The sequence below is a fragment of the Homo sapiens genome, chromosome X (genome assembly GCF_000001405.40).
Source record: "Homo sapiens chromosome X, GRCh38.p14 Primary Assembly".
Classification (NCBI taxonomy): Eukaryota; Metazoa; Chordata; class Mammalia; order Primates; family Hominidae; genus Homo; species Homo sapiens.
This window is the reverse complement of record NC_000023.11, coordinates 149,959,833-149,973,870: the sequence shown is the minus strand read 5'-3', so window position 1 is coordinate 149,973,870 and position 14,038 is coordinate 149,959,833. Positions and strand designations below refer to the sequence as shown.

The following is a 14,038-nucleotide window of genomic DNA, read 5'->3' as shown; positions in this document are numbered from 1 at the left end:
TGCACAATGTGCACATGTACCCTAAAACTTAAAGTATAATTAAAAAAAAAAAAAGAAAGAGCAACAACAGGTTTCTGAGTAAATTAAGAGTATAAACATGAGCTCTTAGGGGATGTTTAACCCAGTTCAGAGAACAACTCTTTCCAAGCTCTCTAACAAATTCATTTGCATATAAATAATTAGTGTGCTGATTTCAAATGACCTTTACCTACTCATTGGAGTATACTCGATCAAGACCTCTACTTGGCAATATTTTGTTAGCTTTTTATAATATCATTTCTGCTTGAAAATAAGAAAAAAATTATTATTTTAAAGAGATCTCATTAAAGAACATTAAGAAAATGTCTGTCCATAAATGCCTCATGCAGTAAGACATGAGGCAGTTTGCCCCATTATTCAGGGTATATAAACCAAGTCTCCACTTAGGATCCAAAATGCCCAGTACTTTAAGAGAGTCAAAGGGAAAGACCATGCGCTTGTATTGCTTTTACAATTTAAAAAATCTACTTAGTGTAGAAAATTTCAGAAAATAGGTAGATAAGTGTTCTAGTAACTCAAATTCTATCTGAGCCTGAAAGGTAACTCAGAGGTCATGCAGGATGACCCAACCCCTGACAACAAAACGCTCAGCATATGCCCAGAAACCTGGCTTTTGCTTAAGGATATCCAGAGCCTCAGAGCTTCCCATCTCCCAAAGCTCTTCCCATCATCCAACAGTCAAAGTATTAGTCTTTCCTTATATTGGACCAAATCTGTCTCCCCGTAATTCCTACATATTGGTCCAAGTTTCTAGGGGAAAAAAACAAAACAAACAAACAAACAACAACAACAACAAAAATGATGTTTCTATGGTTCTTTACACAGCACTTTCCACATACACATTCTCATTGGACTATCTTAATAATCCTGTGAAGCAGTTATTCCTACTACCCTTGTTTCACAGATGAAGACCTGGAGGCTAAGAGAGGCTCAGGAACTACTGACGGTTGCAGAGTGGTGAAGTGTCAGAAGCAGGGCTTGAACTCAGGTTTTCTAACTCCACCTTTTATAGCATTTTCAGTATCCCTTGTTGCCTCAAACATTAAAAAGAGAGAGAGAGAAATACGCTGCTTCTGCTTCCCCATGGGAACAGCCTTTGAAGTCGAAAGGGGGTAGAATTATTGAAGATGCACTCTCCACACATTCTCTCTGAGAGATGTCTTACTATTCACTTGGGTTTAAACTGCCCAGACATAGAGGCCTTGACCTGTATTTCCAGCCTAGACACATCCTGAGTTCCAGAACAAAATAGCTGCTCTCCCCTCTGGAAGTCCCACAGTACCTCAAATTCAGCAGGTTCCAAGCTGAATTTATCCAATTTTTTTGTACATTCTATCTCCACTGTTCATTCCTGAACTTGGTCAAAAATACCACCATCTACTCAGACAGCCATGCCAGAAACCTGGAGAATTACCTTAGACACTTTTCTCTCCCTCACCAATCCTCCCCACAACATCGTAAGAGTTTCACCATTTTGCATCTGCCTCTTCCTCTCTGTCCTCACTGCTACTGCCTTATACAGTCCACCATATCTCTTAGATGAATTCAGTGACCTTCAAAATGGTCTCTAGGCGTCTAGTAGCATCCCTTTCAAATCTACCTGCCTCCATGTAGACTGTCACCAGAGTGATGCAACAGGGCAGTCTATGTCACTCATTGCCTCCACATGTGACTCTCAAATCTAGCTAACTAAGAAAATGCCTGTTCCCCAGATGATTTCAATAATTCAGCAATGTGTAGTAACTAATGGTGTACAAAGCAAAGTCTACGTACTCAATGATCTGAATCTCACCTACCTCTCTAAGTCATCATTTCTGCCATTTTCCCCTTGGCAAGGAATACTCCAGCAATCCTAAAAACATACCATACTGGTTTGCACCTCTGTGCCCTGACTGGGGCTGATCTCTCAGCCTAGAATATCTTTACCCTTGGCCAATCTCCAATGAACCTTCAAAACTTAACTGAGGTGTCACTTCTTCAGGTAGTCTTTCACAACATTATCAGACTGGATTAGGTGCCCCTCCGTATGACTCCACGGCATCACACAAAGTTCTCTATCATGACACTTAGCATATTGTGTTGAAATTATTTGCTCATATTCTGACAAGCCTATAAGCTCTCAAAACCAAGGAACATGTTTATTCATCACTGATAAGTACCTGTCACTTAGTAGATGCTTAGTAAATGTTCACCTGAAATGGATCTAATTTCAAGTGTAGGCTCCATACTTGGCTAACTGTAGAGTTGAATTTTAGGAAACTCAATTCAGCTGCTTAGACCTCAGTTCGCCAAACTGTAAAATAGGCACAATAAATCCCCACGTTTGGCCAGGTGTGGTGGCTCATGCCTATGATCCCAGCACTTTGAGAGGCTGAGGCAGGATGACCACTTGAGGCCAGGAGTTCAAGACATGCCCGGGAAACCCTGTCTCTACAAAAAAAAAAACAGCCAGGCATTAGTGATGGTGCATGCCTTTAGTCCTAGCTACTTGGGAGGCTGAAGCATTAGGATCACTTGAGCCCAGAAGTTCAAGGCTGCAGTGAGCTATGATCGCACCACTGCACTCCTGCCTGGGCAAGAGTGAGAGACACCCTGTCTCTCTACAAAGCAAAATAAAACAAAAACCTCCATGTTCATTCATACACTAAACATGTGATTACTAAGGGACAGGCACTAGCTTGTGTGAAGATTTAATAAATTGAATAATGTATGTGAGAGTTTTTGTAAACTCTCACATAGTATTATAAAGATATTTCTGCAATTTTAGCTTCTACTTAGTGTCTCAGCCAGAAATAATTTCATTCCCTAAAGCCAAAGTTAACTAAGCTTTTAGTCTCCATTAGGCTCACCAAGGTATCAGAGGAAGAAAGCCACATGTGAACAAATATGAACCTAAAAGAGTCAATCCTTCAAGATGGATCCCAAGTGGCTAACTGGGCCTAAATTTAAAATACAGCCAGGCAGCCATTTGCTGACTAAAGGTCACTCTGAGTTTCCCAAAAACTCCCACCTCTCTTTAACTTTGGGACTTTCAGAGCTCACCTATACCAACCAATTAGGGCTTAGCTGTATTTACCAATCAGAACTTAGCTGCATCAACCAACTAGAACTAAGCCCATTTCAATATTTCATTTGCATAAATAAACCTGATTAGGAACTCAGGCAGAAACTTTTGCTATAAAACCCAAACACTCTCTTTGTTCTCTGAAACATAACTTCCTTTTATACAAAAGGCTGTGTCTCCTGAGTTCGCAAACTGTTCACTGGAATAAGGTATCTTTCCTCCGAATTCCTTTCAGAAAACATTTTTTTCACAGCCACTTAACTCAACAGGAACTACACTGGCCTAAACGAGACTGGAAGTGCACTCTGGGAAAGGATAACACAGTAAAAAGCCACTTTGGCAGAGGCAGCGCTAATTTCCTAAGGACACAGGCTTCACAAGTAAGCACTACTGAGGAAAGGTCACTGAGCTCCAATCCTTCTCCTCACTGACATCTGCCCTAACTCGTACTCAGATTTCCATAGTAAAGGGTGTGGATCCTGGTGGAGCAGGCAAAACTGAGCTAAAAAGATGACTTCCAAAGACTCATCCAGGTCTTCCTGGGGCTTGTCTACTCAGGTGAGTACTGAGTACCCTGAGATTATCCTGGGGAGGTCACTCCCAGGGGCAGTTTTAAAGTTTAGTCCCACAGAGCTGAGGGGAGCCAAATTGATTTGTTTGCCCCCAGGAATTTGAGCCCAGAGCCCCGCACTGTTCTTTACCCAAAAACACTGCTATCCCTGAGTGCTTGTATCCTGTAGGCCTAGAAGGGACCATAAAACTTCCCAAAGTCCTTGGACTAGAGGTTATTGGGCCTGTTCGAGGCTCTCGCCCTCTACCATAGAGTTGCTCATTCTCTTGGGGTAAGTTCTAGTCTGAAGATTGCTTCTCAGAATCCCAAGCTCTGCAGGCTTCTATCAATAACACCATGTGACATCATTCCCAGGCCACTAAAGGAATCTGATCTCTCATTGCTCCAAAAGTGACTACTAAAGCAGGAGAGCCATCAGAAGTTATATGCCAAGAGCCAAGCGAGGAAGGGCTGGAAGCATTTCCTTTACATACAGAGCTCCCAGAAAGTATGTAAATCCACATTCACTGAAGCCGGTTCTTATCGACCATCCCTTTTGGATTCCAGCCATGTGATCGTGTCTACCTCCAAGAAATCTCAGATGGTGGTTCACTAAGTAAAGAAGGCAGGAAGAAGCATCTGAGCAGAGGGAACACATTAAAAGACAGAAGAATATTTCTGGAGTGACAAGAGACAAAGCTGAAGAAGTAGGTAGGGAGCAGTACAATATGACAGGCTAAAGAGCTTAAACTATATCCTTTAGAAAAGTAAGCAGCCACCAGAGAGACAGTAAATATTGTTGTACTTGTTCTTATTTTGATTTGTTCTTTGCAGTGAAATGGCATGACTAAATTTTCAATTTAGAAATTCACTTTGTGTCAGTAGACTGCACGAAGCGGGTTGGGGGGCATGGTAAGAGACTAGACAGAAAGGCAAGATTGAAAATCACTGAAATAGTCTAAATGAGAGATGATAAAAGCCTGGACAAAGAAGCAGCATGGGGATAAAGACAGAATATTAAAGAGAGTTTTAGAATAGTACTGACTTGGTGAATATTTGGCTTTAGGGGAGAGGGAGAAAGGAGGAATGATGGTCAGATGTATGTCCTGAGAACCCAGATGGATGGTCATGCCATTGACTGGAAATATGACAAGAGGAACAAGTTTGGGGGCAGCTAAGGTGGGGAGAGTTAAGTTTGGACATGTATCCAATTGCACATCTATTCTACAAATGTCCATCTATCCAGTTGGACATCTGTCCTACAGATAGTTTGATATATGTGTCTGAAGTTCTCAGAATATTCCAAGGCTAGAAATATTTATTTGGGAGTTATGTGTGTAAGTGATAGTTCATATCTTAAGACTACATACAAATAGCCAAGAAGGAAGGTAAACATTGATTTGTAAAAGATTGTGGACGGTTGGACACAGTGGCTCATGCCTATAATCCTAGCACTCTGGAAGGCCAAGGCAGGTGGATCATTTGAGCTCAGGAGTTCAGAAGCTCAAGACAAGCCTAGGCGACATGGTGAAACCCTTTAGCTGGGCATGGTGGTGTGCACCTATGGTACTGGCTACTCAGGAGGCTGAGGTGGGAGGATCACTTGAGCCCAGGAGGTGGAGGTTGCAGTGAGCTGAGATCTTGCAGATAGGTAATTTAAGGGGCAGATAAGAATAACCTGAAATAAAACGATCAAAGACAGGAGAACCAGAAGAGTAAGGGATCAAAAAAGTCAGAAGAGGATAGAGATCAGGAAGGAGAGAATACAAAGTAAAGAGAAAACATATGCAAAATATTATGAAAGTAATGTGGAACTTGGCAACAAACTGATTCCTTCCTATCTCATTTCTCTTACATGTAAATATGATGCCAAATTGAAAGTCTGGATGATTAGAAGAATAGTCTAATCATTAGAAGATTAGTTAATCTATGATTAACAGAAATAAGGAACACAGAGGAAGAATAAATTGATTGGGAGGAAAGATGATGAATTTCAGTTGTGACACACTGATTCTGCAATTAGGGCATTAATGGCTAAGAAACAGATGGGAAACTGCGACAATCTCAGGAGAAAGGTCAAAGTTGGAAGTAAATATTGGAAATCATCTGCACAAAGATTTTAGTGAAATCCATGAAATTCCCATGGAAAAGAATATCAAAAGTGAAGAGGCAAAGAAGATATACAAATGGTCAATAAGCACATGAAAATATGTTCAATGTCATGAGTCATTATGGAAATACAAGTCAATCATAATGAGACACCAGTTCACACCCACTACAATGGCTATAACAAAAAATACTGATAACAAGCATTGGTGAGGATATGGAGAAAACGGAACCCGTCTACACTGCTAGTGACAACGTAAAATGCCACTAGCAATGTAGGAGGCATGGCAATATAAAATGGTGCAGCCGCTTTGGAAAAGTTGTTCAGTTTTTTTTTTATTTTTTTTTTAAGAGTTAAACATTGAGTTATCATATGACTCAGCAGTTCTACTGCTGGGTATCTACTCAAGAGAAATGACAACATATATTCATATAAAAACTTCTACCAGGCCGGGCACGGTGACTCACGCCTGTAATCCCAGCACTTTGGGAGGCTGAGGCAGGTGGATCGCCTTGGTCGGGTGTTCGAGACCAGCCTGACCAACATGGAGAAACCCCGTCTCTACTAAAAATACAAAATTAGCCAGGCATGGTGACACATGCCTGTGATCCCAGCTACTTGGGAGGCTGAGGCAGGAGAATCACGGAGATTGCACTCCAGCCTGGGCAACAAGGGCAAAACTCCGTTTCAAAAAAAAAACTTCTACCAAATGTTCATAACAACATTATTTACAATAGCCAAAAGGAAGTAACTCAAGTGTCCATCAAGTGATAAATGAATAAACAAAATGTGGTATATCCATATGATGGAATATTAGCCATAAAAAGAAACTGGACTTTAGTAAAATTAAACCAAAAACCTTATGCTCTGTGAAAGGTACTGTTAAGAGAATGAAAACAGAATCCATAGAGTGTGAGAAATATTTTCAAAACACATATCTGATAAAGGATTTGTATCCACTATACAAAAAAAGAAAACAATCAATTTAAAAATGGGAAAAATATCTAAACAGACATCGCATCAAAGAAAATGTATGGATGGCAAATAAGCATGTAAAAAGATGCTCAACATCGTATGTTATCAGAGAATTGCAAATTAAAACCATGAACTACCAGTACAAACCTATCAGAATGACAAAAATCCAAACAACTTACAACACCAAATGATGGCGAGGATGTAAAGCAACAGGAACTCTTATACATTGCTGGTCAGAATGCAAAATTACAAAGCCACTTTGGAAGCCAGTTTGGCAGTTTCTTACAAAGATAAACATAGTCTATGCTCACTGGTATTTACCTAAATCAGGTGAAAACTTATGTGCCCACAAAAACCTGCACACAAATGACTGAAGCAGCTTTATCCATAATTGCCCCAAATTGGAAGTAACCAAGACGTTCTTTAAAAGGTGAAGGGATAAACTGTGGTAAATCCATACAATAGAATATTACTTAGCCATAAAAAGAAATGAGCCATTAAGCCAAAGAAAGACAGGGAAGAAGCTTACATGCATATTACTTAGTGATAGAAGCCTCTGAAAAGATTACATGCTATATTATTCCAATTATATAACATTCTGGGAAAGGCAAATCAAAAGATCAGTGGTTGGTAGGTGTTCACAGGGAGGAGGGAAAGACTGCCCTAAAAGTCCCCTGTGTTTTACCTTTTCATCAAAACTACTCTGTATGATACTGTAATGGTAGATATATGACATTAGACATTTGTCAAAACCCATAGAACTGTACAACACAAAGAATGAACCCAAATGTACGGACTTCAGTTAATCATAATGTGTCAATATCAATTCATTGATTATGACAAATATACCACACCAATGCAAGATGTTTGTGGGCAAAATTATGGTCAGGAGTGGAGAGGAGGGCAGTATAAGGGAATTCTCTGTACTATCTGCTCAATTTTCTGTAAACTTAAAACTGCTCTAAAAAGTAGTCTGTTAATCAAAAACGAAAACTTAAAAAAGAGAGAGAATAAAGTGCTGCTACATGCTACAGTATGGATGAACTCTGAAAACGTTACACTAAGTGAAAGAAGGCTGCCATAGAAGACCATACAGTGTGTGATTCCATTTATATGAAAGGTCCAGAATAGGGGAATTCTATGGAGATAGAAAGTAGATTAGTGGTTATCTAGGACAAGGGGGGGAATTAAGGGGAAATAGAGGGTGACTGCTAATGGGCATGGGGTTTCTTTCTGGGGTTTTCAAAATGTTATAAAATCTATTGTGGTGGTTGTGGTGATGGTCTAGAGCTCTGAATACACTAAAAATCACTTTAAATGGGTGACTTGTATGCATATCTCAATAAAACTGTAAAGATGGTAACGAGTTTGAAAATCTCAATAAAAAGGACAATTTTCTAGGAAAATTAGCTAACTGGAATCACAAAGAAGTAGAAAACGTGGGGAAAAATAGGGTGTTACACATTTTCCTCTGATGATTGTTACAGTGCCCAGACAGCTTTATGAGCAAGTTCTTTTTAATTTACAAAGAACAGGTAATTTCCATGCTCTAAAAGCGGTTCTCATTATAAAATAAAAGAAGGAATAAGCCCATTCATTTTATAAAATTAAAGTTATCCTGATCACAAAACCTGACGAACACCCACACAAATACACAGAGAAAGAAAACTGAAGACTAATGTCACTTAGGAATATAGATGCAAAAATCCTAAATGAAATGCCAGCAAGCCAAATCTGGCAAGACATTATGAGCAAGGAGGGATTATTTCAGGAGTGCAATTTACTATCAGGAAGTCTAGACATATAACTCATCACAACAATCAGTTGAAGGAGAAAACCTGAACAAATGACAAGAAATTAATATTTCAAATTTATTTTTTAAATCTATTAATAAACAAGGAAAAACCTATACCAAAACATAAAATTGGGCAAAAAAGAAAAAAATAGTTCAGTTTTACTTGTAATTAAATAAATGTTAATTTTAAAATATGATAATCAATTCTTTGTAGTCAAATTGGCAAAATAGTAATATCAAGAATTTGGGAAAAAAAGGATATACCAATATTCTGCCTCTAAGATAAAAATTGTTATAGGAACATTTAGTAATACCCATGAAAAGCCTTAAAAATTAACATACAGGTGAAACAACAGTTGCACGTCTAGGAATTTCTTCACAGGGAACAATCAAGGACTTGGAAAGGTGTAGTCACACACTACTTACCTCTGCATTGTTTATAGTACAGAAAAACAGAAAGTAACTGAAATGTCCAGCATTAGAAGATTCATCAAACAAATTCTGGTTTGTTCATTCAGTGAAATGCCATGTAACCAGTGAAGGTAAAAAAGAACAATGAACTTAGGTATTCTGAATACATTCAATAAAAAAAGCTTATGAAAGAGCATGTAGAATACAGAGAAAAGAAGGCTGGATGGTTACAATAAAATGTTAATAGTGGCTGTCTCTGAGTGGGAAGAATACAAGTAACTTATATGCTGTTTTTTTTGTATATCTGTGATTTTGTACATGTTCTATAATAAACATATATTACTTTGGTAAAGAAAAATATAATAAGAGTGTATTTTAATGTATATGTTCTTAACTAAGAAGTTTTGCTGCTAGAAATTTATCTTTAAAATCAGACATTTACAAGATTTATGTATAGGAACACACATTATTATAAAAGCAAAAAAAGGAAACCAACTAAATGTCTAGCAATAGCAATTATAAAGTATGAAATAACTATGGCTATACAATGGAATACTAGGCAGCTATTAAAAATCATGAGGTAGAAGAACATATAATGACAAAGAAGATTAAGCAAAAAGGCAGATTATAAAATAGTAAATACAAAATGAGGCTAATTTTTTTCTTTCATTTTATACATTTTTAATTTTTTTAATTTTTAATTTTGTGAGTAGTTAGTATGTATATATATATGTATATATATATGGGGTAAAATTTTTAAAAATAAAACCATATGGAAAAAATACTGGAGGGAAATATACCAAAATGAACATCAATTACAGTTCTCCCGAAGCCAAAGAACCACTGGTAATTTGTTTATTTTCACCGTTCTGCATTTCACAAACTTTCCACAATAGATTTTAAACTCTAAGGCATTTGAGGAGCAAGGAGCGAGAAAAGGTATACAACCATAGTAATTCTCTCTGCTGCCATTATACTAGGCATTTATAGTATCCCATAACTGAATGCAAGAATTGCTCCTGTATAAATGGGAAGAACATGGATTAAAACAAATGAGAAAAGGGGCAATGTGCTAATATGTTGTCTGCATAATTTTTTAAAGCATAAACATAAATCTGGAAACCAACATATTACAAGGTTAAGAATGGTTACTTCTTGTTGGTAGGAATGTGGGTAATGGTTAATTTTGTGAGTGTGATTTTTTTTTTAATTTCTGAAAAATAAAAAAATAAAAATTAAAACCAAATGAGAGACCTATAAATATTTCCACTCACTGGTGTTGGGGCAGTGTGAGTACACTTCTTCCTCTGTGTCTGAGACTGTGGGAGGAGCCCAGTCAGTCCCCGGGATGGGAGGGAACATTCATGGCCACTGCTTTCCTCCCCTGGTCTCAGAGGCTGAACATTGGTGCCCTCTCAGTGAAATAACACAGCAATGCTAGTCTCTCCATTCACTGTATGCCAGGGAGCCCCTAATCCTATGGCAACGACCCCATAAATCAGGCTCATGGACCCCTAACCCTTCAGAGCTCCCGGTCAGCAGAGTTCTCTCCCATGCCATGGCCCTCTATTCTGGCTTCTGCACCCTGCCATGAGACCGGGAGCTCCTGGAGGGCAGGGCCTGTAGTTTAGCTCAAACCTTGCCTCTGTGACTACCCTAGTGCCTTGCATAGAGTGGATATTCAATGAACATTTATGAGACTTTGAAAGGCAGGCAGGTATGAAACATCATCTTGGTGCCTGACTTGAGAATAGAGGAACATGGATACTAGCATGTATCCATGAAGCCTTTCATCCTCTCAGGAAAAGCACAATCCAGCCCATGGCTTGGCTACTTCTTGACGTGCGCACGGGTGCAGTAGTCTCATGGATGAGAATGCCACCTAGTGGCATGGATGTGGTAGTCTCGTGGATGAGAATGCCACCAGGGTAGGCATGGGCAGTGATGAAAGCAGGTCAAAGAAGAAATTAAACACGGTTCAAACAGATCTTCTTTGAAATAAAGATATACAAACCATCACAATAAGTGGAACAGTGGGGGCTGGATGAGGTGTCTGTATGAAGGCATGGCAGCTACAAAGTCAATATAGCATCAATATACAAATTTACGTGCGATGCAATAGGTTTCCTTTGTTTCAAACTGAAGGAAGACATTCCATCTCACTGCCAAAGGCTTACAAATTAACGCTGAGGGTCAGGGTTCATGGTACTTACTCAAGGTTCCTGTGGCTGCTGTTGTAGTCCCATAACTTTAAAATCATTCTATCATCTTGGAGTACTTTCTCTTAGTGGGGAGATGATGGAATTTGTTGATCATAAGAAGTATATAATGGGAGAAATCTCCTTTGCTAAAGGTTCATGTAATGAAAGTTATGAAAAAAACCTTTTTTTTCATTAAAGCAAACTAATTTGTCACTGAAGAAAAAGTAATTATTTAAATGTTTAAAGAAACAACTTTTTTCAATAAAGCAAATTAATTCTTTAAATATGTCGGAGTGTCTCCAGGTACTGACTAGTGTTCTTAGAAAAGAAAACTTTTAAGAACAGAAAAATTCAGATCAAAAGAACACAGCCCTTATCTTTCCCCCTTCAAATATAAGTCAAATAGTGGCTGTGAAACTGACTGCAGGGAAATCCCTCCATTTTTTATAACATCAAAATGGAATAAGGCTTCATTGCTCAAGCTCATACATACCAGGTCTGAAAGCACATGTGGGTTAAATATCTCAGACTTGGTTTGTTTGAAATGATGTTCTTGCTTTCAATATGATCAACTAAAGACAGTTACTCTGGACTTAGAGCTTCATGGAACAACATAGACTTGATTATGCCAAAAGTACTTTACACAGCTTGAGAAGTCCACTCTTAACAGGTGCCTTTGGAAGTCAAGGCAAAGGATTTTTTAAAAAATTGAGCTGGAAGAGATCCTGACCAGTATAACTAGACAGCCTGTGGGATTCAAGAGGTAACAGCTTATCTGCTTTTAAACACTAGTACAATAAGAGAGTTCACAATAAAGTTGGACAACCGCCATAACATCTTTTATCGAAACTATTGCAAGTTTCTAACTGATCTTTCTGTTTTCACTTGACCCAATTTGGCCAAACCCACACAGCCTAGCACAGGCTCATAATTCTACCATTATGTGCCTGTGCTCCAGCCAAACTCAATTTCTCACTGTTCAACTGTATCAATATTTGTTTTACCTCTCTAGCAGTGAAAAAAATTGAGTCACCCCAAAAGGTTGTTAGGATCATTCTCAAGTACTGTAAAAACCCTGTCCAGAAGAGACATATCCTCAGACATGCAGTCACACAAGACTCTGCCTTTGAAAATACAGATCTATGGAGGATGAGACAAGAGTTTATATCTCTCTGCACCTGACCTGGGTTGTTTTATTGCTTGTTATGCTACTGACTAATCCAGTGCTTCCCAAACATTTTTGGAGTTTTGACATTTCACTGGTTCTAAGCAAAACAATTGTTTGTATTGTTTTTATAAAATGTACCTATCCTACCCCCAAGAATGCTATAACTTTTCAAAAAAAATTAAAGTTAATTAAAATGAATTTGGCTTTGAGAAATTTAGAACAATTTTGTGAGGTACTTTGAAATCCTATGAAACACTCTAGAATTCCCAAAACAAGGAGTTGAGAATAACTATTTTGGCAAATATGTTTGTCTCTCCATGCTTTGTTATTCCCACCTATAAAATGAAACTAATGATGCTCCTACTCTTTCCCAAGTTTCCCAGTCTGTATATTATGAGAACCCAGGCTTATAGAAAGAACTTTGCTTTCCCCAGAATAAAGGATTCCCATCTAACCCAGATAAAGAAATTTAACTATAACTCTAAAATCTCCTTATGAGATTAACATTCTAAATGTTACCAGCAAAATATGAGATACTGAAACATTACCTGATAACACAGAGACATAAAATTCTTTCAGGCTGCAAAAAGATATTTATGTTACTAAACTTACATTTGAAGATCACAGTGCTTGAGAAAGTGTAGATCCAACATCCAAACATAGTTGCCATTGGGAAGGAACTGCCTTTAGCTTCTGTGAACAGAGGAGTCTCTTCTGAGGTAGGGATGGGAGTTCAGGACTCTGAGAAGATAACATGTCATAATTTCCACTGGGTTCTCTGTTGAAATGTTTCTTTCTGCAGAGAGATTAGAAGTGCAGCACTGGGAGGAGAGGCTGAAAAACAAACATAAGCCTCCCTTGTTGGAGTACATTTTATCCCCACAAAGTTATTTTGTTTGTGATCACAATTCAGTGAATTCTTTTTGATAGAATTCTTTTATTGCAACTGTCTCTAAGAGGCTAAATTTCTCCAAGCAGCACTCTGGAGAATCCCAGCATTAGACAATAATTATAAATAAGGGTTCTACAAGTAACCAGAGACCCAGGCTAAAAGGAATGTGATAGGCCATACAGGGTACGGCTCTGCCTCCAGGCTGAATAAGAATCCTAACCCAAATGGACTGGGAAAGAGTCCATGTCATTCTAAAATAATAACAGGAAAGAATCTGTTATGGATTGAATGTGTCCCCGCAAAATTTATATGTTGAAATCCTGACCCCTAAGGTGATGGTATTAGGAAATGGGTCCTTTGGAAGGTGATTAGATCATGAGGGTGGGACCATCCTAAATGAGATAAGTACCCTTATAAGAACAGGCCAGAGAGCTAGCTCACTCTCTTTCTTCTGTGTGAGAACACACAGCAAGAAGATGGCCATCTGCAACCCCAAAGAGGGTCCTCACCAGAACTCATATTAGCACCCAGATCTAAGACTTCCAGCCTCCAGAACTATGAAAAATAAATTTCTGTTGTTTTCAAGTCATCCAGTTTATGGTACTTTGCTTTGGTAACCCAAACCTTTCTGGATGAGGCAGAATCCAAGAGTTAGAGATTTGAGAGTCAGAAAACACCTCTAGAGATCACTTGTTGTAGCCTTTTGCAGAGAACAAAGGTATTATATTAATTTTCTGTAGGCCTAATGTTAAGGTATCCTTAGGTGAAAATAACTAATGTGACATGAGCTACATATAGTATACAATCTCAAATAACATGATTACACAACTTATTAA

At 38.4% G+C, this 14,038-nt stretch overlaps 1 long non-coding RNA gene across 1 annotated transcript in view; it reads right to left on the bottom strand.

Annotated features, from left to right (window-relative positions):
• EOLA2-DT (EOLA2 divergent transcript) overlaps nucleotides 1-14,038 on the bottom strand; it is a 78,240-nt gene that overhangs the window by 42,917 nt on the left and 21,285 nt on the right. Inside the window, exons 8-9 of the long non-coding RNA NR_027456.1 lie at nucleotides 12,923-13,106; nucleotides 11,155-11,288 (exon numbers count right to left, since the gene is read on the bottom strand). This is a non-coding gene — a long non-coding RNA (EOLA2 divergent transcript). The remainder of the gene's footprint in view (nucleotides 1-11,154; nucleotides 11,289-12,922; nucleotides 13,107-14,038) is intronic.